Source organism: Homo sapiens, chromosome 20, assembly GCF_000001405.40.
Source record: "Homo sapiens chromosome 20, GRCh38.p14 Primary Assembly".
Taxonomy (NCBI): domain Eukaryota; kingdom Metazoa; phylum Chordata; class Mammalia; order Primates; family Hominidae; genus Homo; species Homo sapiens.
In genome coordinates, this window is record NC_000020.11 from 51,003,244 (window position 1) to 51,029,973 (window position 26,730).

The 26,730-nt window shown below is 52.1% G+C and overlaps 1 protein-coding gene across 11 annotated transcripts, besides 3 other annotated features; it reads right to left on the minus strand.

Moving 5' to 3' along the window:
- Window positions 1-412: 412 nt before the first annotated feature.
- On the minus strand, window positions 413-19,864 carry KCNG1 (potassium voltage-gated channel modifier subfamily G member 1). 11 transcript variants are annotated; one of them, XM_011528802.3, is made up of 5 exons: window positions 19,627-19,864; window positions 10,486-10,601; window positions 9,116-9,173; window positions 6,322-7,121; window positions 413-1,563 (listed from the first exon to the last, which is right to left on the minus strand). In XM_011528802.3, the coding sequence occupies exons 4-5, from the start codon at window positions 7,093-7,095 to the stop codon at window positions 796-798; spliced, it is 1,542 nt and encodes a 513-aa protein (XP_011527104.1). In that variant the 5' UTR covers window positions 7,096-7,121; window positions 9,116-9,173; window positions 10,486-10,601; window positions 19,627-19,864; the 3' UTR covers window positions 413-795. The 11 variants fall into 11 exon arrangements, with proteins under 11 accessions (XP_011527104.1, XP_011527103.1, XP_011527105.1 ...); XM_011528801.2 differs by having other exon boundaries at window positions 10,486-10,606; XM_011528803.3 differs by having other exon boundaries at window positions 19,411-19,864.
- Window positions 755-1,256: an enhancer, noted in NCBI's record as "H3K4me1 hESC enhancer chr20:49620535-49621036 (GRCh37/hg19 assembly coordinates)". NCBI's record gives its function as "activates a minimal SCP1, AML or CMV promoter by ChIP-STARR-seq in naive H9 embryonic stem cells {active_cell/tissue: H9 hESC(naive)}" and the evidence as "EXISTENCE:reporter gene assay evidence [ECO:0000049][PMID:30033119]".
- Window positions 17,505-18,068: an enhancer, noted in NCBI's record as "H3K27ac-H3K4me1 hESC enhancer chr20:49637285-49637848 (GRCh37/hg19 assembly coordinates)". NCBI's record gives its function as "activates a minimal SCP1, AML or CMV promoter by ChIP-STARR-seq in naive and primed H9 embryonic stem cells {active_cell/tissue: H9 hESC(naive and primed)}" and the evidence as "EXISTENCE:reporter gene assay evidence [ECO:0000049][PMID:30033119]".
- Window positions 19,793-19,962: a silencer, noted in NCBI's record as "silent region_13038". NCBI's record gives its function as "represses an Ori minimal core promoter by ATAC-STARR-seq in GM12878 lymphoblastoid cells {active_cell/tissue: GM12878}" and the evidence as "EXISTENCE:reporter gene assay evidence [ECO:0000049][PMID:35858748]".

The following is a 26,730-nucleotide window of genomic DNA, read 5'->3' on the forward strand; positions in this document are numbered from 1 at the left end:
ACAGGCCCCCTGATGACCTGTCAACTGTCAGGGGTGCCTTTGTGTGAAAGTTTGAAAAACCAGCCCTAAGGGGTGAAAAAGGTGAATAGAGGATGGAAGAGAAGGAAAAAAGGATAAAAGGGAAACGGGAGAAAGAAAGGCACAGAGGGGGGGACAGTCCAAGAGAAACGAGAGAGGGAGCACAGTATTCACTGGTCATTTTCCTTAAAGTGTCTGTTCTCTTTTTCTACAACCCCAGTAGGGCCCCACCGGGCCTGAACAACCCAAGCACACAGGGCCCTTTACTTCCAGCCCCCACTTGCTGGCTTTGCTGGGAAACCCAGCTCCCTTTTTTAAGACAGCCCCATGGAAGGCATTCTCTCTTTTTCATCAATTTCTTTTCCCTGGACATGATCCACATTAGAGACAGACATGCTGTTTCTGCTGTTTGTATTTTTTTTTTTTTTCTCCAGGCAGACCCATAAAGCAAGTTTTTGCTGGGCATGTTATTTGCATGGTGAAAAGAACAAGGCATCTCCTTATTGAGGGAAACACACATAGGGGCTGGGGTGGGCGGGGCTGGGCTGATGACCCAGCTTCCTTTCACGGCTGCAGGCGGAGGGGCAGGGCCCCTCTGCTGATGTTCTAGTGTTCTTCCCGGGGTGTGGGAGTGAGGGTGTCCTTCCCCGGGTGCGTGGGAGTCGGTGCTGCGCCAGGACTGCACTCGGAAGCGGCCTGTCCCTCTCCAGGCGTCTGCAGTGGATGGCAATGGCTTCGGGCCACAGATGGCAGGCAGGGCAGGCGTGTCCTCCGCGCTCAGTTATTGTCTCTGGTGTCCGAGGAGGCACTTCCGAACAAGATGTCACTGTCCTGGGACACGCTCAGCTGCGACTTGGTTTTGATGAGGAACTGCGCCCTCCGGAACATCACCCTCTCTTGCTCCTGCTTGAGCTCCAGGTAGGAGCGGGAGAAGGTGTGGAAGATGGAGGTGACTGGGAAGGCCATGAGCAGGATGCCGCTCAGGATGCTGCTCAGGGCCACTACCTGGCCCGGGGTGCTCCTGGGGACCATGTCGCCATAGCCCACCGTCGTCATGGTGATGACAGCCCACCAGTAGCAGGCAGGGATGCTGGTGAACTCGGGGCTGTCGGCCATCTCGTTCTCGATGACGTAGAGCAGGGGCGCGAAGAGGGCGATGGCCACGCAGAGGAAGAGCAGCAGGAGCCCGAACTCGCGGGTGCAGCGGCGGGCCGTGAGCCCCAGCGTCTGCAGCCCCAGGGAGTGGCGCGCCAGGCGCATCACGTACAGGATGCGCAGCGCCCGCAGCACGCGCAGCACCAGCCCCACCTTGTCCAGGTAGCTGTTGCCCGCGCCGGGCTTGCGACGGCCTGCGGCGGCGCCGTCCACCAGCAGCGTGATGTAGTAGGGCAGGATGGCCACCAGGTCGATCAGCGTCAGCGGGCTCCGCAGGAAGGCGAACTTGCTGGGCGCCTGAATGAGCCGCAGGAGGAACTCCAGGGAGAACCAGCCCACGCACACCGACTCCACGATGAAGACGTTGTGGCACATCTGGGAACAGTGGCCCTGGGAGAGAGGGGAAGGGACGCCGGAGGGGTCAGCGGGCCCTCCAGGAAAGGAGGGCAGAAGCTCTGCCCTGTGCCCTGCTGGGCTTCCCAGGCGGAAGGTGACCTCTCCAGGTTGAGTGGCCCCGGGTCCTCTCCCTAGTTGTGCCCACTCCGAGGCCTGGGGCACTAAGCACCATCTCTACACTGGCCGCTCCTCATCTCTCTCTCCAGCCCCCACCTCAGCCCTGAACTCCAGACCCCCAACAGGCTGCCTCCCTGACGCTCCCACCTGGGTGTCTGAGGGGCATCTCGAACTCACCATGGGATCCTGGTTTCCTCTGCCCACTGGTGGTTTCCCTCCCTAGCTTTAGGCAATCCCATCTTTCCAATGGCTTAGGACAGGAGACCTGGCGTCATCCTTACCACCTTGCGTATAACCCCCAGGAAGTCTCTTCATTTAAAACAGTGCGAGAATCAAACCCACTGCCCACTGCTCCCACCTGGTCTGGCCACCATCCTTTCTTGCCTGGATGGTTGCAGTCACCTCACCTCCCCGCTGGGCTCCCTCATCCCTGCAGTCCATTTTCCACACATAGCCAGAGGGATCCTGTTCCTCCTCTGCTTAGCACCCTCCACGGCTCCCGATGGACTGTGAGGAATAGTCTTGTTCAGTGCCCCCATCACTGCCCCGGGCAAATTTAGGCTGAGGCTGCCTCACCGAAGCTTTCAAAAGAGGCTGGAAATGTGCAGTTTTACATGAACTCTCCTGGTGACAAATGTTGGTGATAATGTTGGTTAAATAGATAAAATGTTGATTTAAGTCCTGGTGATAATTCAGTGCAAAGAAATACTCTATGGGCCACTAAAACACATATTTTTGTTGGGTTTGGCATGCAGGCTGCCAGCTTGCCTCTCTGGTCTGGAATATAATTGGGTGGTAAACAGTCCTTTAGTGGATTTGGGCCTCATCCTTGAAGGGGCCTTTGGCAGAGAGGAGAGGCCAGTGTGGTTCCAGCCTGGGGCATCTTGGAGGTTCTGGGGCACAGCTGAGTTCTACAAGTCCCACTTGAACAATTCTGTCTCTAGGAATATGTTAGAGGCTGGAGATATGAACTAATACCTGGTGGGGCTTTAAGGTCTTAGACCTCTGGGATGGGAAGCCCCTTCCTCTGGGAAGCTTTCCTGGAGCGTGCCCCACTAAGTAGCTCCAGCAGTGTCAGTGGGCCTCCCATACAGAACCTCCTTGGCTTGTGTCTCCTGCTTATGGTGATGGGGGGGGTGGGTGGTGCCACTACTCCATCCCAACCCCAATAGACTTGAAGCTTCTTGAGGTTGGAAGACTTGTCCTGGTCACCCTGTCTCCCCTGTAGTGCCTGCATACAGTAGGCACTCAAATGTGTGCACAAGGAGCATGTGAAGCAGTGAATCCTACTGCACCCCAAAATGAAGTTGAAGAACAGCATTTTCACTGAATCCTTAAAAAGGCAAAGGTATTATTATCTTTTCAAAAAGCAAGTATCAGAAGTTGAACAAAACAGTGGCTTTATTAGTATTTTCCTGATAAAATCACGATCAAAGATGTTGAAGCTGAGAAGAAATTTACACTAAGTACAGCAATTTCCAGACAGGTCTCAAATGGTGAGCACTTTCCCTTTCCTTTCTTTTTCTTCTTGACCCTAATCCTTAAGAGAGGACTTTCTGCACATTCACTATGCATCGCTTCTAATCCCTTCATGTGGCGTGGACTCAGTCAGCCCAATCACTTCTTTTTTTTTGCTCTTGTTGCCCAGGCTGGAGTGCAATGGCGCAATCTCGGCTCACTGCAACCTCCGCTTCCCAGGTTCAAGCGATTCTCCTGCCTCAGCCTCCCGAGTAGCTGGGATTACAGGCATGTGCTACCACGTCCGGCTAATTTTGCATTTTTAGTAGAGACAGGGTTTCTCCATGTTGGTCAGGCTGGTCTCGAACTCCCGGCCTCAAGTGATCTGCCTGCCTCAGCCTCCCAAAGTTCTGGGATTACAGGCGTGAGCCACCGCACCCAGCCCCAATCACTTCTAATCACTTCATGCGAACTCACTGAATCCTTGCAACACTGTGAGGTGGGCCTGTTCATACCCGCCCTGGACAGGTGAGAAATCAGAGGCTCAAAGAGTTTAAGTAACTTGCCCACAGCTACTACACAGCTAGAGAGGAGAAAGCAGGATTTGAATTCAGGCCATCTGGCTCTAGCCCTGATCTCTTCATCACTACCCTTCATGCTTATTGAAAGTTGATTTTACCAGCTGGGTGTGATGGCATATGCCTTTAGTCCCAGCTATTCAGGAGGCTGAGGCAGGAGGAATGCTTGAGTCCAAGAGTTCGAGTCCAACCTGGGCAACATAGCAACACCCCCATCTCTAAATTTTTTTTTTTTTTTGAGACAGGGTCTCACTCTGTTGCCCAGACTTGAGTACAGTGGTGCAATCTTGGCTCACTGCAACCTCCACCTCCCAGATTGAAGCAATTCTCATGTCTCAGCCTCCCAAGTAGCTAGGATTACAAGCGAGTGCCAACATGCCCAGCTAATTTTTGTATTTTTAGCAGAGATGGGGTTTTGCCATGTTGGCCAGGCTGGTCTTGGACTCCTGACCTAAAGTGATCCACCCGCCTCAGCCTCCCAAAGTGCTGGGATTACAGGCGTGAGCCACCACACGTGGCCTAAAATTGTTTTTTTTAATTTAAAAAAGTTTAAAAAGTTAACCTTACTGGTTGAATGCTATTTTCTTAATACCCATTTAAAAATTCAACTTATAAGCCAGGCATGAGGGCCTACTTCCTCCACATACATAAGTGGAAAGATCCTGACACGGTGAGTACTTCTAATGTTAAATTCGAGAGTGCATGTAAATGAGACATGAGAATCGCTTCAATCTGGGAAGTAGAGGTTGCAGTGAGCCAAGATCGCACCACTGTACTCCAGTACAGTGTAATCTTAGCACTTTGGGAGGCAGAGGTGGGAGGATCGCTTGAAGCCAGGACTTTGAGGCCAGCCTGGGCAGCAAAGCAATACCCCATCTTTTAAAAATAAATAAATAAATTCAATGTATACCAAAAGTACCAGTAAGCCTCTGTGGATTATTAATGCAACAGCTACTGCTACTTCCTCCACATACATAAGTGGAAAAATCCTGACATGGTGAGTACTTCTAATGTTAAATTCGAGAGTGCACGTAAAGCACTTAGCACATGCAGGGTATACAGTCAGTGCTCAATAAATATTGGCTGGCATGATATTTACGTTCAGTTCACACCGCCATACCTATTTCTCCACTGCCTATACAATTTGTACCTCTGAAAACTTTTGGTCTTTCTTGAAGCTTCCAGAATCCCCATATACAGGGAAGGAGTCACCAACTCAAAGGCCCATGATCTCATACACAAGGAGACTGAACTGGGCCCCTGTGGACTTGGATCTCCCCAGGAGGTGCCATGTAGGACCGCAGGCTGGTGTATATGTTGGTGGCGGGGCAGGGGGAGGGGAGGGACCCAACCTCACAATTTTTAAAAAAATTTTGTGTTTTAGAGATGGAGTCTCACTCTGTCGCCCAAGCAGGAGTGCAGTGGCGTGATCATGGCTCACTGCAGCCTTACCTCCCAGGCTCAAGCAATCCTCCTGCCTCAGCCTCCCAAGTAGCTAGGACTACAGGTGCAAGCCACCACACCTGGCTAATTAAATTTTTTTTTTCCGTAAAGACGGGGTCTCACTACATTGCCCAGGCTGATTTTGAACTCCTGGGCTCAAGCGATCCTTCTGCCTCCAGCTCCCAAAGTGTTGGAATTATAGGTGTGAGCCACCACACCTGGCCTGATCTTATGATTTTTTTTAAAAGAAGCTGAGATTTTGAATTTTTATATGAAAAAACTTCACTTTTATTGTTGGCAACCAAGTCAAATTTTTGGGAAACCTTGTGTGGGCCAATCACATAGTCCTGTGGGGCTATATTAGGTCCCCAAGCTGCCACGTGGACACCATATTTCCATGCTTACAAAGACAGACTGGACTTAGACCTGGGGTTGGGCAGTGTCCTCAAATACCTAGTGGGTGTGAAAACACTTCCCCCACAGGGTTGCTGGAGCATTCCCTAGGGAGATAAGACGTAGTTGGCACATGCAGCCCAGCTCCGGCTCCCGTGAACTCCCAGATGAGTGGGAGCCCTTAGACTGTAGCACACACCCCGTGTCAGGCCCTGGAGTAAATAAACTTTCCATTCATTCTCTTATGTAACAAAAAGAAATGCTCACCATTTGTAGACACACATATACCTATCAATAAAAATTATCTTCAGGACCCAGAAAATGTGTCTGGGCTACTATGATGCAAAGGATTAGGAACGTTGAGAAAGGACCGAATGGTTGAGATAAATTTGATGATATATGTAATGTGCTTCGCTCAGGGCCAGGCACGTCAAAAATCACACCACCCATTTATTCACTCATTTGTTCATTCAACAAATAGTGGTTGAGTGCCTGTTTGTGCTGGACACTGTTCTAAACACTGGCAAGGGGGAGGGCAGTGGTGGGCACAGTGGAGGCCAGGACAGGCACAGGCGTGGACCCCCATGATGCTCACATATTAACAGGGAGGCAGACCATGCACACAAACATTCCTGATGTCAGGAGGGACCAGGGATGCTATTCAGCCAGTGTGCAATCAGAGGAGGCTTTCTGGAGGAGGTGACAATGCTCAGAGTCCCTTCCCTCGTGGTGGCGCGTTTCCCCGCGGGGCGTGGGCTCTTACCTGCTCCTCCTCCTCCCTCAGGCTGGGCAAGGTGCTGACGGAGAGGTTGACGGCGGTGACGGTCACGAAGAGCACCGACAGGCAGGCGAACACCTTGCCAGGCAGCCCCGAGTGCGGCCTCTCCACCATGTCGCGCAGTCGCCGCATGCAGCGCCCCAGGCGGCCCTCGCCCTCGGCCGGGCCCTCGCTGTCGCGGCCCTCGCTGTCCAGCGCGTCGTCCTCTTCCTCCCGCTCCACCATCTCCGCGAACTCCTCAATCTTCTGCAGGTAGCGGCGCTTGCAGCAGCCGTCCAGGTGGTCCTCCGCGATGCCCCAGTACAGCAGCTCCTCCTGGAAGGACAGCGCGCACATCTCGCGCAGCAGCCGCAGCTTGCCCGCGCGCAGGAAGGTCAGGATAGTGCCGAAGGCCCCCGGGTTGCGGTCGAAGAAGAACTCGTTGCAGGTGACGTCGTAGTCATCGCACACGTTGAGGATGTCGTCGAAGTTGGTGCAGGCCTTGAGCTGGCCCAGGCGCGTCAGCGGGAACTCGTCCAGCGTGGTCCAGGGCAGCGAGTACTTGATGCCGCCTACGTTGATGATGATCCGACGGCGGCGGTCCTCGGGCTGACAGCCCTGGCGGGGCTCATCCTGCGGCCGCAGCCGCTGCGCCCGGCGGTAGAACGCGCCCTTGATGGCCTGGCGCTGCGGGAGGAAGGCCGGGTGGAAGGAGGCGTCCGAGGTGCAGCTCAGCGCGCTGTAGTCGTAGTCAGAATTGTCTCCCGGTAAGAGGGTCATTTTGGGCCTTCACATCCCTCTCGGGCCTGTGGGGAGAAGGGAGGGAAGACCCTCAGTGACCACCCCTAGCTTCACCTTGCTGAGAATGCAGATTCCGCAGATATTCACTGTTAGGGATGGAATCTTTGTCCCCCACATCCATAGGTTGCAGGCCCTAGCCCTCAATGGGATGGTATTAGGAGGTGGGGCCTTTGAGATGTCATTTGGTTCAGATGTGGTTATGAGAGCAACGCCCCCACGATGGGATTCGTGTTCTTATAAGAGGAGGAAGACAGGCCGGGCGCGGTGGCTCACGCCTGTAATCCCAGCACTTTGGGAGGCCGAGGCGGGTGGATCACCTGAGGTCAGGAGTTTGAGACTGGCCTGGCCAACATGGTGAAACCCTGTCTCTACTAAAAGTACAAAAACTAGCCAGGCATGGTGGCGTGCACCTGTAATCCTAGCTACTAGGGAGGCTGAGGCATGAGAATCGCTTGAACATGGGAGGCGAAGGTTGCAGTGAGCCGAGATCATGCCACTGCACTCCATCCTGGGTGACAGAGCAAGACTCCATCTCAAAAAATAAAAACAAAACAAAACAAAACAAAACAAAAAAAAAAGAAGAAGAGGAAGAGACACTAGGGCTTTCTCTCTGCCATGGGAGCACTCAGGGAGGCATCTAAGTGTGAAACCCAGAGAAGAGTGCTGCTGGCGCCCTGCTCTCAGACTTGCAGCCGGCAGAACTGGGAGAAATAAGTGTTGCTGAAGCCACCCAGTCTGTGGTATTAATATTTGGTTACATCAGCCTGAGCTGACAAAGACATTCACCTAATAGTGAAATAGCAACAACATTGTTCAGCATCTCCCAGCCTTCACAATTCTCCCATATCCATCTATGCACTGGGGATGCAGCCGTGTGCAGAATGTGAAGGGGTCTCTGATCCCAGGCAGCTGACATCCTAGTGGATTTTCAGGTGACACATGTACTGTTATTTACTTAACATTTTATTTTAAATTAACTTTTTTTTTTTTGGTATTTATTTGGCTTGGAAAAACAATTTAGTGTAGACCTACAGTTCTCATAGGGCTGATTTAGTCTCCCAAAAGACATGTGGCAATGCCTGGGAGCATTTTTGCTGGTCATGACTGGGGTTGCTATTGGCATTTAGTAGGTAGAGGCCAGGGAATGCTGTTGCATGTCCTACAATGCACAGGACAGTCCCCACAACAGACACTTGTCTGGTCCCAAGTGTCCTTAATGCTGAGGTGGAGAAGCCTGGTTAATGGTTATGAACGCAGACTTTGGAGCCACACAGCCTGGGCAAGTGACTCAACCTTGATGTGTCTTAATTTCCTTGTCTGTAAAATGGGTACAGCCACGTGATTTGATAAGATTGCTGGGAGGCCTAAGTGAATTATGTACATAGGAGCATTTAATGCAGTGCCTGGCACATAGTAGGTATTCAGTAACTATTGTCTATTATTATTATTATTTTTGAGACAGAGTCTCGCTCTTTTGCCTAGGCTGGAGTGCAGTGGCACGATCTTGGCTCATTGCAATCTCCGCGCCGCGGGTTCAAGCAATTCTCGTGCCTCAGCCTCCCGAATAGCTGGGACTACAGGTGTGCCACCACACCTGGTTAATTTTTGTATTTTTAGTAGACATGGTTTTGCCATGTTGGCCAGGCTGGTCTTGAACTCCTGACCTCAGGTGATCTGCCCACCTTGGCCTCCCAAAGTGCTGGGATTACAGGTGTGAGCTACCACGCCCGGCCTATTATTATTTATCTTAAAGGGACAACTAATATTGTTTCCATTAATGGAAAACAGATACCACTTGCCATAAATCAGAAGCAATGGACAAAGAAATGCACAACTATGAAAGCAATGCCACGTTTGCTCAGGGGTCAGCAAACATCACCTTGAGGATGCAGGGCTGAACTGGACAGCCATGTTCATCCAGGAAGCCTTCCTTGGCTCTTCCAGCTAAAATGAGCACCCCTCCCCTTACAACTGGTGCACCCGTCTTCACGGCACTTACCACCAGTTCTAGAATTGTCTGTGTGCAAGCCTGGCTCCTTCATTAGGCAGCCTGCTCCCTGGGGGAAGAAACGTGCTTTAGTCATCTCTGAATCCCTATGCTCAGCACTGTAAAGCCTCAAAGAGGTGCTTGTTAAATGAGTACATTTCTTGTTGACGAGACCAACATGATAAGGCGACTTCTGGGGAACTCAGGTCAAAATATCAACTTGCATGGACTCCTTCCTTCCCAACCCTCAAAGCTAAGGGTTTGTGCTACTGGAACAAGATTGCTTATTCATTACCAGCTCATGGGCTGAATTTGGTTCACAAATATTTTGCTTGGCTTGGAGAAGTTTTTGAAAGTTGAGAAATTTCATGTAAAAATCCATATCCTTGGCTTCTTTTAAAAAATCAGGATATCTGGCAACACTTGGCCCAAACGCCAACTGAGAAATGGCTACCCCTTTAGGCAGCACATGCTCCAATCCACCACAGTCCCCACCCCCAACTATTGTCTTCCTAACACCCACTCTATTCCACTCATGTGTGTTTCCTTCCCGGCCCTATAGGCATTTGAGTTTGAGACCCTTAGATTATAGCCACAGAGCTCTCTGGAATTAAGCCGATGCATAGAGAAGTTAGTAGGAGTCAAATACTCTGCTTTTAAAAATCACCAGCCCTCGACCGGGTGCGGTGGCTCAGGCCTGTAATCCCAGCACTTTGGGAGGCCGAGGTGGGTGGATCATGAGGTCAGAAGATCGAGACCATCCTGGCCAACAAGATGAAACCCCATCTCTACTAAAAATACAAAAATTGGCCAGGTGTGGTGGCACATGCCTGAAATCCCAGCTACTCGGGAGGCTGAGGCAGGAGAATCCCTTGAACCCAGGAGGTGGAGGTTGCAGTGAGCTGAGATGGTGCCACTGCACTCCAGCCTGGTGACAGAGCAAGACTCTGTCTAAAACAAAACAAAACAAAACAAAAAAACAAAATCACCAGCCCTCTCCCTAGACAAATCCCCAATGGAATCAAGTGGTAAAAATCTATCAATTCCAAACGGAAACCCATTTCCAATACTTAAATATGGGTCGGTGCTGTGGACATGTTCAGGAAGATACTCGCTCACAAACACACCCGTACACAAACACATGTACCTATGAATGAGAAAATGTTTTAATAGGTGCTGGAAGGGGAGGGAGGGTGTTTCACACTTAAAAGGGGCTCCTTCCTAAGAGGAACTGCTTTACAAAAGCACATCATCCCTCTACTACTCACTGATCTTTGGGGAAGGCTACAATTGCAGAGATCAGGGTTTGGAAAACTAGGGTACACCTGTGTTTGAAAGAAAAATGATTTGATTTTAGATGGTTAGAGTGTTTTTAACTTCACCTAAAATTGGAACCCATCTCCTCAGGCACAGCCTGCCAGGATCCTTTGGAGGCGTGGGAATAATCCCTTTCAGGCACTTTCCTTGGTGATCTCTCTTTTCAGCTCTGCTGTTTCATCTTTGCTACCACAGAAAAGAGAAAAAGTGACATTCTGTTTGGCAAGAATGGTGATGGAGGTAAACGGAAAATGCCTCACACAAGCCCTGGAGGGCTCTTGTGAATCCCCATGGCTGTAATCACCTCTTCTTTTTAGGAATTTCTTCTTTCAACCCTCCCAGCTTTCCCTCCAGCAGAAAACTCCCCCAATTAGTGATTTATTTCCTTCACGCCCTGCCCCCACGTGAGTTTCCTGTGTGGAAAGTGATCCTGTCTCGGCAGCAGGGTGAGTATGGAGAGGCTGATGCTACTCGGAGGGTAATAAACAGAGTAACGACCTTGTTCTCAAAGCCAGAGTCCCCTGGGGAAATGCTGAGGCCAGAACTTGCTAAAGGAAGAACAGGCATATTTCTCCATGGCCTTTGGTCTTGCAGATACCTGATCTGATGTGAGATGGACGGCTCAGCACCTCTAGACCCTACACTAAAGTTCATAAATCAAAGAGGCCCCAAAGCCTGGCCTTCTGAAAAATAATACTGCTTTTCACGCAGCCTGATATCCTCACAAGAAATTTTTTATTTCTCTGTGGTGTTAGTTCTGTTAGTTCTACAGCATGGTGGGTTTAAGTGATTTTGCCTCTGAGGGTCTGTGGATGCTTGGGGAGAGGAAGCTGTTTGAAGCAGAGGCTGCGATGGGGGAGATGAGGTGAAGTCCGGAGGCAGGTGTCATTCATTCCTTTATTTGTTCGTTTATTCAGTAGTTACTGAACGCTCACCACGTGTCAGACTCTGTATTAGAGCCGGAGACACGGCAGAGAACAAGACAGACCTAGGCCCTGTCCTCACGGAGGTGACCTTCTGGTGGGGAAGACTGTTTCCAAATGAGCACACAAGTCATTTCAGGCTGCAGCGACTGCAGTGTTGTTGACAGAGCAAGGTGAGAGATGGAGAATGACTATTGTGGGGTGTGGGGCAACATTGGCTGGAGGGGTGAAGGAGGGCTTCTTGGAGGAGGGGACATGGGGTTGAGCCGCATGGATAGATCCAGCCCCGTGAGGACCTGGCAGAGGGAGTGGCAAGAATTTGCTCCCTGACTTGGGGGTGGGCTTGGATGATCAAAGACCAGAGAATGCAGAGCACAGAGCGAGGGGAAGCTGGGAGAAGAGGAGAGGGGCAGGGGCCAGGTGCAGCAGGGCCGAGGGGCTGACAATAAGGAGCTGGGGCTTATTCTGCAAGGGACAAGGAGTCCATGTGTGCCTGCCAGGTCAGTGGACAACGAGTGGGCTGGGGAGCCCAGGCTGGAGGCTATGGAAGTCATTCTGGAAATGACTAAGGTTTGCAGCGGTGGAAGTCCCAGAGAACAGGAGGGATTTGGGATGAACTTTGGAGGAAGAGCCCTCAGGACTGGCTGAGGAATGGGGCCTGGGGGAGGGGGAAAAGAGAAGAATCAGGATTCCAGGGGTGCCATTTACCGAGGCGACGGATAGGTGGCGCTATGGTGAGCTGAGTCAGAGGAAGCTGTTCCTGGCTGTGGGATTATGGACAGAAGAAGCAGCTGGCAAAATCCAGGAGAGAGGGGGGAGATGGGTGTCTCCCAAGGACGGTGCCAGACCATCAATGCTGAGCTGATGGGTGTGTGTTTGCGGGGGGTGAGGGTGTCACCTGGCAGCTTTGACCTGGCTAGGCTGGCAGGGGCCGGAGGGCCAGGGTAGTAGAGCTATGGTGAAGTCAGAGGTGGGGGCCTCACCTGTGCCCTGTGCCCGGTAGCCACTGAAGCTGCATCACATCAGGCCAGAGTGGTCAGGGCAGGGCATATGGTAGGCAGAAAAATGTCCCCACATTCCCCTAGATGCCCACGTCCTAATCCTAATCCCTGGAAGCTGTGACTACGTTAGACTGCATGGAAGGAGGAACGAAGGTTACAGGTGGAATTAAGGCTGCTACAGCTGATCTGAGATGGGAAATTATCTTGGATGATCTGGGTGGGCCCAGTGTAATCAACAGGGTCCTTATTTGTGGAAAAAGAAAGCAGGAGATGGAGCGGCAGAGGGCTGCGGCATGAGAATGACTCCACTGGCCACTGCTGGCTTTGAAGATGGAGGAAGGGGCCATGAATCAAGGAATGCAGGTGGCCTCCAAAGGCTGGAGGCCAGGAAATGAGCTCCCTGGAGCCTGCAGAAAGGAGCACAGCCTTGCCAATACTCGATATTAGCCCAGCCAGACCCATTTCCAACCTCTGACCTCCAGACCTGTAAGATAATATAATTGGGCTGTCTTAAGCCACCCAGTTTGTGGTAATTTGTGACAGTTGCAATAGGAAATGGGATGCTGAGGCCAGGCATGGTGGCTCATGCCTGGAATCCCAGCACTTTGGGAGGCCAAGGCGGGTGGATCACTTGAGGCCAGGAGTTTGAGTCCAGCCTGGCCAACATGGTGCAACCCCATCTCTACTAAAAATACAAAATTAAGCTGGGCATGGTGGCAGGCACCTGTAATCCCAGCTACTGGGAAGATTGAGGCAGGAGAATCACTTGAACCTGGAAGGCAGAGGTTGCAGTGAGCGGAGATGGTGCCATTGCACTCCAGCCTGGGCGACAGAGTGAGACTCTGTCTTGAAAAAAAAAAGGGGATGTTGAAAAAAAGCTGGTTCTGGTTCTGGTTCTCCTCCAGCTTGGGGGACAATGTGCCAACCACCCTAAGCTGAAGAGGCAGAAGGGCGCACAGGCTTTAAAATCAGGAGACCTGGGTTCAAGGCCAGTTGCTCTGTGACTTTAGGCAAGTTGTGCCCTACCCCTGAGACTCAGTTTCTTTATCTGTATAATGAGGCTACAAACAGCTCCTGCGTCCTTGAGTTACGGTGAGGACAAAAGCAGATGGCACAGGTGATGCACTTGGCTCCATGCCTGACGCTGAGTGAACCCTCAATAGTCGCCTTGGAATTCTCACAAGCTACGATTAGAGTCCGCTGCCCCCCTCCCTGCTTCCCAAGAGAATCTTCTTTTCTGACCTGACCCACTGGGATTTGGATCCAGCATCATCTGATCCCCGGATCCAATTGCTAGAGGGTATGCGGGCTGGCCTAGCACTCTGGGAAAGCCACTGGGCGGTAATGAGGGAAATGAAGATGCTGCTGCCCTGTGACCCAGGAATCCCACTTCTGGGTATATTTCCCAGACCTGGGACCACAAAGGGTTGTGGCAGACATTGTCAGTAATAAATTATTTGCACTCAAATCCTTCACTCAGGGTTTGCTTCTGGGGAACCAGATGGAAGAGAGTAACAAACAAGGTACAAAAATGTGTGTTCTGTGTTGTTTATGGTACCAGGAGGTCCCCTAGCATCCATCCCCAGGGGAGTGGACAGGCAAGTCTTCGTAGAGGCAGATTATGGAAGCCTGCAGATTGCCCAGGAATCAGAAGCAATGGACTGAGTGGAGATTTAGCAACACATTTAGGTCTTAAAAACAGTGTGCCGAGTGGAAAAAGAAACAGAAGTTTCTAGCACTGTGCTATTTATGTAAATGAACACACACACATTACATATTTTACAAGGTCTCAAGCACATGTGAGGATCTATATTAACCACATGGAGGGTGCCTGGAAGGGCAGAGGAAGGGGAAGAAGCGCGGGGATTGGAACAAAGAAGAAAAATGAGTAAGATGAGACAGCCTGGCACAGGCCAATGAGGAGGCGTGCTGGGAAGCGGTGTGGTTTGTACAACTCTGGGTTTTAACCCAGGTTTAAAAAGAAAAACGAAGAGCACAGGAACGACAGAACCTTCTGAATTGCTCGGGGTGCTCGGTGGAGATACAGATTTCTGGGACCCTCCCTTCCCAGTCGGAATGTCTGAAGGGGAGGCCCAGGAATGAGCATGTTCACAGGCTCTCATGGAGATTCTGTGTGAGAGAGGGGACCGGGAATGCCTGGAGTTCTCCCAGGGGCTGGAGGCACAGGAGCTGCTCTGGGCTTTCACCTGGACTCCCCTGCCCAACGTGTCAATCTCCTAGAGGCTCTGGAAGGCTGTGAGTCCCGCTTCATTGGAGAAATGAAATCCCTTCTGGTTCGTGAGAAAAATCTTCTGCGTTGGGGCTGCCTTGATCAAATTTCCATTCAGGAGCCCAGAGATCCACTGACACTCTCCTCGCAATTTTTCTATCTTTCCTTTGAGGAAAAGGTGATGCTTATAAGCTATGGCTGAGGGCTGAGAACATACTTCCAAAGATAAATGATCATTGAGATCATAAGGCGTTCTGAGTGGCAGTTCTCACGTGACCACCCTGAGGTCAGCACATGACTGAGGGTACAGGTGCGGGACCTGTGGGGTGGGATTTGGGAGGGCGGAATGGGATGGAGTGAAGGTCCAAGCCAGGCATGGCTAGTCGTCCCTGCTGCTCCTGCTAATAACCCTGTGGCCTGGGCAGGCCATCACACCCACTGAGCCGCTGGCCTCTCTGAGCCTGCCTCCTCCCCTAGAAGATGGGGATAAGATTGCTGACCTCACGGGGCTATTATGGGGATCTGGTGAACGGAGGTTTGCTGCAGGGATGAGCAGTGTCACTGGGCCTCCTGTCCCCATGGCTACATTCCATCAGGGGCATGAAATGGTTCTACAGATGGTCCTGGGCTGACCCCAACTGCTTTCAGGTCTCTCTCCGGGGTTCCAACAAGCTGCGGGCCTCTCTGGACCCTGTTCTTTCTGTCTTATGCTCTCCGTCCCTCTTCCGAGTGGCAGCGGGGAATGCAGAGAGAGCGCTAACTGCACAAAGTGTTATAAATAGCAGCAACCACAGCCTCCCTCCACTGCAAACTCACTAAGTGCCAGGTGCTGTGCTAGGAGCCTTCATTGCCTGAGTCTCCATCCTTTCCTAAAAAGGTGGGCATTATCACTAATACCCCCATTTTACAAATGAAGAAACTGAGGCTCTGAGAAGTGAAAACTTATGTCTGGCAATAAGCGACAAAGCCAGAATTAAACTAGATCTGTGGGACTCCAGGCCGAACCTCTTTGACCCCTGCCTTTTACTGCCTCCTTGAACCACTTGTTCCTTTCGGGGAGCTGGTGTGGTGTCTCCACCCCTTGCAGTGAGTCAGGGACTGGGTTTCTAGTCTCTATTTCATATGGACGAGATTTTGGAATGTTTCTGAGGATGGGGAGAAGCAGGCAATTGTCCATGGCTGGGGAAACATATTTATCACTATTTATATTTGCAAGTGAGCAGAGTTAAAAAAAATCAACAAAACCCCTAGTTTTGCCAAACTCAGGGTTGCCATTTTGGCCTCTGGGAAGGAGATGTTGACGATGGAGGCAGAGGGTGGAGTCGTCTCCAGAAGCCCTGCTGATACCTTGATTTTGGCCCAGTGAGTCATTTGGTCTTCTGATCTCCAAAAACTATGAGATAATAAATTCAGGCTGGGCGCAGGGGCTTACGCCTGGAATCCTAGCACTTTGGGAGGCCAAGGTGAGAGAACTGCTTGAGTTCCAGAGTTCAAGGCCAGCCTGGGCAACATAGTGAGACCCTGTTTCTACAATTAAAAAATAATCAGCTGAGCATGGTGGTGTGTACCTCTAGTCCCAGTGACTCAGGAGGCTGAGGTGGGAGGATCACTTGAGCCCAGGAGGTCAAGGCTGTGGTGGGCCATGATAGTGACACTGCACTCCAGCTGGGTGATAGAGCAAGACCCTGTCTTCAAAAATAATAATAATAATAATAATAAATTTATATTGCTTTAAGCCACTAAATGTGTGCAAGTATGTGAAAGGAGGAAATTAACACAGCTTCCAAGGCAACTTTCCAGAAGGAAAGCATTTCTCTCCTGTACTCTGCAGGCTTTGGTTTCTCTCTCTCGTACCATGCCTCTCAACCTGTGCCATTCCCTCACTCCCAGTGGGTGTCTCGGGGACCCGTCCGTCTCTCTCCATGCCACTCTTTCCCAGGCCCTGCAGCGTTTCACTGCCAGTATAGCTTCATCTGTCAGGATTAGGGCTTCTGGCCGAGCCGACTCAGAGGCGGGTCAGGCTGCATTAATCCCCAATTAAAACGTTAATCAAAATGGATCCAACCATTAGCCTGGCCCGGGTCCTGGCATGTTAGATTTCCAAGAGCTGCTGTGCCCTGGTGGAGAATATATCTTTCTTAGCCACCTGCTGTCTGTTCTCGCCACAGTCCCACCACCCTGGGCCTTGGCCCAGCCTCCTGAAAGCTGGGGCCCAAGTTCCTGGGGAGATTGTGTGCTGGGAGCTAGGCTCTTCCCTCCATCCCTCCCTTGCCCCCAAATGAGAAAAAGTGCCAGTGTCCCTCCCCCCTATAAAAAAGACAGGCTGCCTCGGGAGCCTCCCTGCTGTGCTGCAGGCAAGCAAAATAACACCAAATGCACGTTTGCGTTTGCCTTCTTCTACGGGGAGGTGTTTGGGGACTGGAGCCAGAAGATCCTTTTCTCTTTGCCTCCTTGTAGCTCAAAATTAAGCAGAGAAGCAGGCTTGGGGGAGCAGTGGGGACCTCAGGACGGCAGGAAGGGAGACACCTGCTTACCAGAGTCCTCTGGAGGGAGAGCATGATCGGACCTGCCCGGGGAGGTGTGGGTATGAGAGTGAAGACTCACCTCAGGGCAACGGACAGTCTTAGGCACAATTCAGATCCTATTTGTAGCAAAGTCACTTCATTTCTGATTTCGTTAATCAAATACAGTCTGCTGGATGATAAAAATGGTCCACAGCAATGGAGTGCTTCAGCTAGGTTCTTCGCCTCTCCCTTTTTATTAATTCTATTTAGAGGGGCTTTACCAGCTGCCATTTTTCACCCACAGGCTCCATTTCTGGGCTTAATGCAACAACCAAGGGTAGATTCCTGTACCCCTAGACCTCTGGCAACAGGCAATGTTGACTCTTCATCAACATTGGAAAGCAGGGTGGAGAAAGGACAGCCGAGCCAAGGTACCTACTGCGGCTCCAGGAGGTGAGTTCCTCGGAGCTGGTTTGCGTCGCTTAGCCCTGCATCCAGCACACATCTCTTTGTTCTTCTGTTTCCTGAGGCACCTCCCTCACCTCTTGCCAGAGCCCAGCTGTGGGTCTGGTGCAGAGAATTCAAAGTGGTGCTCAGATCTGCCCCAATCAGGCTCCAGGACAAGCTTCGGGAAAGTCTTTGGGGATGGGGAGAAGCAAGTAACCTCTGCCTCCCATGTCACATCTCCCTCCCAGAGGCCAAAAAGGCAACCCAGAGTTTGGCAAAACTAGGGGTTTGGTTGATTTTTTTACTCCCAAGGTTTGACAACCCAGGCTGTAGGCTGCGGGCCTGGGCTCTCAAGTCTCAGGAGAAGAACCTAGGTTGCCTCGTTTCCAGTGTGCTTGCAGTTCCCTGCAGGTTAGGAGTGTGTCCCAGGACAGACATCTTTCCCGTGGAACGGGCTGGCTTCGAGAATGACTGAGGAGGGTGATCCCCAGGGGCCAGCGCTTGCCTGTTTTTCAAACACACCTTCCCTCCTTCCCCTCCTATCAGGCGACTCTGCAGGGCTCCAAAAGCCGGGGGAGGCACAAATAGAGCTCAGGTCTGGCAGAGCCTGAAAAATCCCCCAAAGAAGGACAGCATGCCCTAGCCACAGTGCCGACCGCAAGGCCCCAATCAGCAGTGCCAAACTTTTCTTGGAGATGTGCTGCCGGTGAGGCTCTTCATAGGGACTCTGCCATCATGGGTATGGGGGTATCAAACACACACTAATGAATAAACCTCTGCTCAGATTCATAGGGCAGGAACTTCCCCCACCCCACAATGAATCAGACCAGTTCCTGCTCCCTCCTCTTACTTCCCCCTGTACTTATCTCAGGGAGTCAGCAAAGGGGGTGGGGGCGTCTGTGTCTGTCTCCCTCTTCTATGTGTCTGTCATTTACCTGGGTAACTTTGGTGCCTGGCACCCTTTAAGTGCTTAATAACAGCGAGTGCTTAAGAAAATGCCTGCTGAATGGACAACCTAACTCATAAACCCCATTGGTGGGAACCTGCATTCCTCAGTAATGTCGGATCAGTGTTTCTCAACTCCTCCCCACCCTACCCCATCACCCGCCCCTAAGGAGCTTTGAAAAGATCTTTTCTTCCTATTCTAGAACCAATTCCAGCTTCCACACCTCCCACCTTGAGAAGGAATGCATTAGATGAACCAAGACTTCTGCCTATATACATGGGCTGCTACAGTTGGCCACCCCGGCAGTCTGCGGCCTCCCAAGCGGGGGCCTGGGTCTTAATCCTTACTTCTCTCTAAGCTGCATGAAGGGTGCCCCCATTCCATCCCTCTTCACTTCTCCCCAGCATAGCGCCTCCATAAATGTTTGTGAACTGGATGAATGACTGTTGAGCGCTTGGTATGATGAGCTGCTTACAATAGGTGCTCAACCAATCTTTGTCCAATCTATGAATGAATGAATGAACTTCACCCTTTTCCTTCCATACCTCCGGGCTGAGCCTCTCTCCCACATGGAAACCCTAAGGCTGAGACCACCACCTTCCTACCAGTTCCTGGGGGTGCCCAGTGAACTGTCTCAGTATCCCCAGTGCCTAGCACACAGTAGGCGCTCAATAAACGCTTGCTGTGTTCATAATGAATGACTCAATCAGGCCCACGGTGGGGGTGAAGGGGGGCTCCATACTGTGCCTAAGGATACAGTGAATGAGCAAGTGACACACACTCCCCCACCCCAATCCCTAACTCTCCTTCCTCCCAGGATCGGGGGAGAAACCTCGGCCCACAGCCGGGATGCGCCCCCGCCGGGGTCACCGCGGCGGCGAACGTCCCGGACTTCGCATCCCGGTGACCCCTTGGGATGAACCGAAGCCGGACCCGCACCTTGGCCGTAACAAGCGCGCTCCACGCCGCCACGCACCAGCGGTGACTCCCGAGTCCTCTGTCGCCCTGGCCTCCCCGCAGGCGGGTTTCGAGGCCCCCGCAGGGAGTTCAGGGCCACGGCCACGTGCAGCCGCCCCCGAGCCCGAGTTTGCAGGCTCGGGGTCCGGTTCGCGCTTCGGTGGCGCCCGGCGAGGCTGCAGCGCGCAAAGTTCCCACCTCAAGTTCCCGTCGCGGCGTCCCCGCCTCGGAGTTGGCCCGGCCGCGGCTTCCGTTCCCCCCGGCTGCCCACGGGTCCGGGGCGAGGACGCGAGAGGGGCCTGGAAGTCGCCCGGGGAGCCCGCTCTGCCTCCCGGAGCCGCCGCCAAACTTCGGTCCCGGGGCCCGGCTCAGCTCCCGCCCTCGGAGCCACGGCCGCCCCGTCTCTGCCTCCCGGTCCCCGCCGGGCTCCGAGTGCGCCGGGAGCGCGGCGCAGCAGCCGCCGAGGGAGGGAGCGAGGCAGGAGGCGGGACGGAGGGAGGGGACTGAGCGCGGGGCGGGGAGAAGGGGCGGGCAGCCGAAAGCGCAGCGCCTGGCCTCGCCTCGCTTCGGGACAGTGGCAGCGGCGCCACCGTCACGGGGCGTCCAGGCGCCCAATCGGGACCCCGCACCTTGGATCCGGGGGCCCTGGCGCGCCTGCTGGATTGCGCTCCTCGCGGCCAGTTCCTGAGCCCGCGTCCGGGACTGCTCGCGCTACGCCCTCCCTCCCGTTGCCTTCTTCCCCGTCTGCTCTCCCAGGAGCGACCACCCTGCGGCCCCTTCGCCTGCACGCGACAGCCTTCAAGGTCCCCGCGCTCCGCTGCCCTGGAGCTTCACGCACCAGGCGGCGCGGCAGCCTCCTAGGGTCGCGCGCCCTGTCAGCTTTCCCCGCGGTGCAAGTGCTCCGGTGGTCCCGGGTCCGCGCCCCTAGCAGCACCGCCCCAGGGTCTACATGTGCTAGATATTAAAACCCCACTCTCCGCTGCCCCGGGGCCGCGCTCCACGCGCTTACACATCCTGGGAACCACATGCGCCATGTCTCCTGCCTTTCCCTGGAAGTCCTGGAAGTCCAAGTGCACTGCTGCCTCTGGGTCCCTCGCCCCCCTACCCCGGGCAAATACTGCATCCTTGAGGCCCTCCACGCGCTGCTGCCCTGGAGCCGAACGCTCCAAGCAAGCTTCCACATCCTGGGGGCCATATATCGCGCGCCTTTTCTCGACCTCCTAGACCAATGTTGCCCTTGGGCCCTTCCTGCCACCGCCACCCAGGGACTGCCAGCATCTTGCTGTGCCAAATTCCTAGGGCCAGTACGTACCGTGCCAGGTGTTTTCCCTTCCAGTCCCGCGGGGCCGAGGCCCCAGAGCCCTCCCGGGCTAGCAGAGCCGCACTTCGTCGTCCACTCCCCTGGCCGGTGCAGGGCACTTGGACCAGGTCCTGGGGTCTTGCTCCCAGTGTGGCCGCCTAGCCTCGGAGTTGGTAGGATGCTGCACAGATGCTGGAGGTTGGGTTGGAGGGATCTATTGGGTTGGAGGAATCTACTGAGTTGGAGGGACCTATTGGTTTGGAGGGATCTGTGCTGCTGGCAGGGCTGGCCTCTTAGGGTGGCTTGCCTTGCACTCCGTTCCTCTTCTCCTTTCTGTCTCTTGCACTCCGTTCCTCTTCTCCTTTCTGTCTCTTGCACTCCGTTCCTCTTTTCCTTTCTGTCTCTACTGCCTTTGCCTATCATCAGAGAACCAAGAAAGGACATGAAGAAACCCTGCTGCCGACCAGCCTGAGGCCTTCTGCTTGAGTGGGGCTCGGGTTGGGGAGTCGTGGGTGCTCATTAAGTGGGTTAGGGTTAACCCTAAGAAATGAGCGCAGGGCACACTAGCCTGCGCGGCAGTCCCAGCCGGGTGGAGCATAGGAGTTCCAGGTTATAGTGCACTATGATGGCACCACTGCAATCCAGCCTGCGTGACTGAGCGAGATCCAGCCTCTAAAACAACAAGAATAAAAACACTGGCTTACTGGTGAGGTGGAGGCCTGGACAGACAAGGATCTGCCTAAGGACCTGTTTCCAAGAGCTCACCTTCTACTGGGGGCTTGGCAGAATTGGGAAACTGCTGAAATACGTGATTGCAGAATGAAGCCAGAGAGGCCACTTTAGATAGAATAATGGGGGAGGGCTCCTGTGGAGGTGATGGTTACATGGAGCCCTGAGCCAGAAGGAGCCCATCTGGCAAGATGGGAAGAGAGCTTTCTAGGTGGACAGAACATCAAAGGCACTGGCCTTCAAGCAGGAGAGAAGGAGGCATGTCTGAGAAACATCAAAGAGACCAACCAGCAGTGTGGGGGAGGGGCCTGAGTGGGGTGGGGTGGGCTTTTGTTGTCAGAGGGTCCCTGGATTACATATTGAGAAACACTCCTCTTGTGGTGGATCAGGCTTCTGCCTTCCTTTCCCATCTGAAATTTTTTTTTTTTTTTTTTTTTTTGAGACATAGTCTCTCTGTGTCTCCCAGGCTGGAGTGCAGTGGTGTGATCTCAGCTCACTGCAACTTCCATCCCCCTGGGTTCAAGCGATTCTCCTGCCTCAGCCTCCTGAGTAGCTGGGACTACAGGTGTGTGCCACCATGCCCAGCTAATTTTTGTATTTTTAGTAGAGACGGAGTCTCACCATGTTAGCCAGGCTAGTTTTGAACTCGCAACCTCAAGTGATCCGCCAGCCTCAGCCTCCCAAAATGCTGGAATTACAGGCGTGAGCCACTGCACCCAGCCAGAAAATTGCTCTCTATCTTGTTTTTGAGACAGGGTCTGACTCTGTCACCCGCTGGAGTGCAGTGGTGCAATCATAGCTCACTGTAACCTCTAACTCCTGGGCTCTAGGGATCCTCCTGCCTCAGACTTCTGAGTAGCTGGGACTACCACACACCACCATGCACCACTAATTTAAAACAAAATATATTTTTTGCAGAGACAGGCGGGTCTGGAACTCCTAGGCTTAAGACATCCACCCACCTTGGCCTCCCAAAGTGCTGGGATTACAGATGTGAGCCGCTGCACCTGGCCATGTTTCTATCTTTTTTACTTGCGTATTATCTGTGTCCCCACTGGGGACCAAGCTCCATCAGGGCAAGGACTGTGTGCTGTCTCTCCCCTCTCCAGCAGCTCCCACTCTGCTAGGCACATACAGAGCAGGCTTCTTAAATGATTCCTGGAAATGATTCCTGGGGGAATTCAGGACAGTTTTCTGGAATAGATGTGACTGCGTCAGAGAGTCAGACTCCTCACTGATGCTCACAGGGTAAGGATGCAGAGCAGGGCCTCTCAGACTTTACTGTGCATCTGAATCCCCCTGAGGGCTTATTAAAACCCAGACGGCTGGCCCCCACCCTGGAGTGGCTGATTCAGTGGGTCTGGCGTAGGGTCCTTCTGAGGAGTTCCCTGCTGATGCTCATGCATCAGGTCTGGGGATCCCACTTTGAGAACCACTGATATTGAAGACTTGAACGCCTACCCAGCTGGGTCTGACTTCGGAGCCCTCATGAGGTCCCGGGACAAACTCAAGCCAGCTTCTTCTTATGTAGGATCCATAGGAACTAATGGCCACCTCTAGAGATGGGGCTGGGCTTATTAGAACACTATGCACCTGAGTCAAATTTCATAGTGACCTGCAGACAGAAGACCTGGTACACTGTGTGGAGACCGTCAGTGAGAACAATGACTTCCACCCGGTCCTGCCTACCCGCAACATACACACTCACTTGCTGTACCCAGGAGTTAAATTACTGCCTGATCTTATCCCTGACTGTGCTAAACAATGTCCAATAAAATCCTTTTAAGTCCTTTTAAGGAATTCCCTCTTTGCAGTTCCTCCCTCCCTTAGAGCCTTCCAGATTTTTCACTCTTCTCCTCATATCTTCATTTTCCTCTTGAAAAGCATCCTTCCCCAAGCTGTTGTGTGGAAAGAGATGTTGATGATACCCATGGAAGCTTCCTGAGAAAATGGGAACCGTCAGTGCTTGCTGGGCAGCTACGAGGTGCCAGGTGGTTGCTGGGTGATTTGAAGACATCAGAGCCACAACTGGGCCCGGAGGTGGACTCTGGCACGCAGACCTGTTTTATTTGTCCCTACTGAGTTAAAATTTTTAAAAATTAATTTAAAATTAGTTGCTGACCTTTAAAAACTGGGAGATTTCATGTAAAATTTTTTCTTTTGAAACACTGGGAGATCTGGCCAACATCCTTTACCCACACAGCATGCTGGCGCTGGGCAGTGGCTTCTGCTCCCTGCGGTGTGCCCCTCTACCCACATCATACCATCTCGGTTACTGCCAGGCCCCTGGAAGCAAGAGTTGGTGACTTTTCATGTTGGCAGATTGTCTAGGGTTGCGCGGTAAATGGCAGAGCCAGATCCGAACCCAGGCCTGCCTAACCCAAAAGCCCAAGCTTGTCACTGAAATAAAAACTGCTGTTAATTTTTCGGGCAGGAGGAGAATGTGACATTGCTGGCCCTGAGGAAATACCTTAAAAGGGAGTTACTGTCAGCAGTTTAAGAATATGCCTTCCTTCCCATCCATAACCAGCTGTCAGTAAGCCATAAAGTTCTGGGCTGTTTTTCCAGGGCAGGAAAAGTTATCCAGAGCTGTCCATTTTTTTTTAACCCATCTCCTCCTTGAGATGAAAAGGCTTGGATTTGGTTGGAGTTGGGAGGAATCTGTTGAGAGTGGTGGGTGGGGTGGGATTTTCTTGGTTTGGAGTTAGCTCTTTGGACAGGGGATCCCACTGGGTGTCTGTGGGGTGAAGGCTGGTGTTTGAGTCAAGGCAGGGATTGGGATGGGGGCATTCTCCTTCTCTCTCTCCACAGACACTCTGCCCCAGGCACTTTCCCTTTCTGTTCCTCTGATTCCCCAAATCCTGTCACCTTCCCGCAGATTTCCATATAGCCACTTCCTGCAGGTCTCAGCCCATTGTCACCTTGGGATTCCTGGTCTGGGATGGGGTTAGGTTGCAGTAGGTGAGGTTGAGGCATGCAAGGGTGTGACTTTATTGAAGTCTTTCTTTTAAAATGTGATATTTTGCTTCTTGTGGATTTTTGTGGACTAATTTTGATTTTTAAAAAATATTGTTTCAAAATGTTATTTACCTTGATGATTGAGCTTTTGGGCACCTCCTTACTTTTTTTTTCTTTTCTTTTTTTATTTTTTTTGAGATGGAGTTTCTTTCTTGTTGCCCAGGCTGAGGTGCAGTGGCACGATCTTGGCTCACTGCAACCTCTGCCTCCCGGGTTCAAGCGATTCTCTTGCTTCAGCCTCCTGAGTAGCTGGGATTACTGGCACCCTGCCACCTCACCTGGCTAATTTTTCTATTTTTAGTAGAGATGAGATTTGACCATGTTGGCCAGGCTGGTCTTGAACTCCTGACCTCAGGTGATCTGCCCTCCTCAGCCTCCCAAAGTGCTGGGATTACAGGTGTGAGCCACCACATCCGGCTCCCTCTTACATTTTGTACCCTGCCTGCCTCATCCCAGCTCCTGCCCTGCTCCTAGTCCAGGGTTCTTTGGCAAGAGCCCTGGGCTGAGAGTCAGGGGACCTGGGTTCTGGTCCAGCTTGTGTCACTAGACTAGCTGTGTGGTTGGACACAATCTCCCTGCATCCTGAGCCTCAGCTGTACCATCTATTCAGGGAAAAGGTTATATCTAACTCTATTCCAGAATGATCTAAGACATCTGCTAGAACTCTGACCGGTGGTGCATTGTGTCTATCTCCTGGGGGCTTTGGAGCCATTTGAGCCTTGCTGACCCTGGCCATTATGGGGTGTCACTCACTGTTTATTTCTTGGCTCTACACTCGAGGTGTTCCTCTGTGCAAACACAAAATCTTTGCAGCAGCTGTATGCAATGAGCCTCAGTGCCTTCATGCCTTTTTCCTGTCCTGGAGGAAATTTCTGTTTTGGAAATGTGGTTCTGTACCTTATTCTTTGATGTCCCGCTTTTTTGTTTTTTGGTTTCATTCCCCAGATCATTGGATAAACATTGTTTAAGGACCTTCTATATGCCAAGCACTGAGCAAGCACTTGGGATGCAAAAGACACGTTTTCAGCCCTGGAGGAGCTCACCTTCCACTGCAGGAGACTGCCCATGAGCAGATCCGGGGACCGGGAGAAGCCTGCAGCAGTGGAGGACTTCCAGGGAGGATGAGGACACTTCGAGGGAACTGTGCACTGTCTTTTCTCCTGGGAGGAAGCCTGCATCCTCTGTGCTGTCTCCAGATGCCATCAGCCCCGAGCAGTGTATAGCACCTTCCTAATAGAATCCTCCTCAAGAGAGTGCTGCAGTGTTACATTTTGGATCCACACTCGAAGGGACGAAGCTTGAAGTTAAAGCTTCCAGTTGTCTCTAACCCCATCTCCCTCCATCCCTCCTCTGGGTTGTGGTTTGTCCCTCAGTTTTTCCGCCTCCTGATAACTTTCACAGCCCATTTCCAAGTCCACCTCCTGCGTTCAGCTTTCCTCCACTGCTCCAGCCCTCAGGGGACTCTTCCCCCTACCCTCATCCTAAGCCTTTATCAACTAATAGGTACTCTCCCTGGCACTTAATTAAGATCTGTCTAGAGTTCCTTGGTGCTTCAGCCCAGCCACGAGATTCTGGTTCTTGCAGGGAGAGGGCACTGCCTGATAGTTGGTAATAGCTGGAGGGCTCATTCCCCTCTACTCAGAGGGTGCAAACTCATGTATCTTCCCAGGACTTCCATGTTTTAAAAATAATGAAGTATGTGCCAATATTTGAAAATTAGGAGATTTTCGCATACGAATCCAGATTTCTGGCTTCCCTTGAAAACTTAGAAGATGTGCCAATTCTGAACCTGCTTTCCTGCCTGGCAAAAATTGGCTAGAGCTGGTAGCAACATTTTCCTTTAGCTGGGGCCTGGGTTCTCCAGTTTGTCACACTCCTCACCACTCCTTAAAGTCTAGAACCCTTTACCTGTCTACCTGTCTGGTCCCTGTAGGCATCTGAGATTTTAAGTCCTGGTTCAACTTTTCTCTTTCTTAAGAAGAGAGACAGCTCATCAGAGCACTGCACACTGGCAGATGCTTAGGTAGCTCAAAGGGAGGGTGGGCGTGGAAAAGGGGATGTGTGAGCACCCAAGACTGTTGAGTGGTTGGGGGTTGGAGAGAGTCAGGCAGGAGGGTGCTTACTATGAATCCAGTCCATAGATACTTAGTATCAATGAACTCAGATGGGTGTTTGAACCTGGCTGATGTGATGTGGGTTATGTGTACAGGTAGAGCTATATTTCATGTGAATACAAAACAACACAGTTATAAAAA

What these genes read in the sequence shown, in the direction of transcription:
- KCNG1 (NM_002237.4), bottom strand. Translation starts at nt 7,095, where the DNA reads ATGACCCTCTTACCGGGAGACAATTCTGACTACGACTACAGCGCGCTG. An exon ending in TGAGGGAGGAGGAGGAGCAG is followed by an intron (nt 1,564 to 6,321) that starts GTAAGAGCCCAC and finishes CCTCTCTCCCAG; the next exon opens with GGCCACTGTTCCCAGATGTG.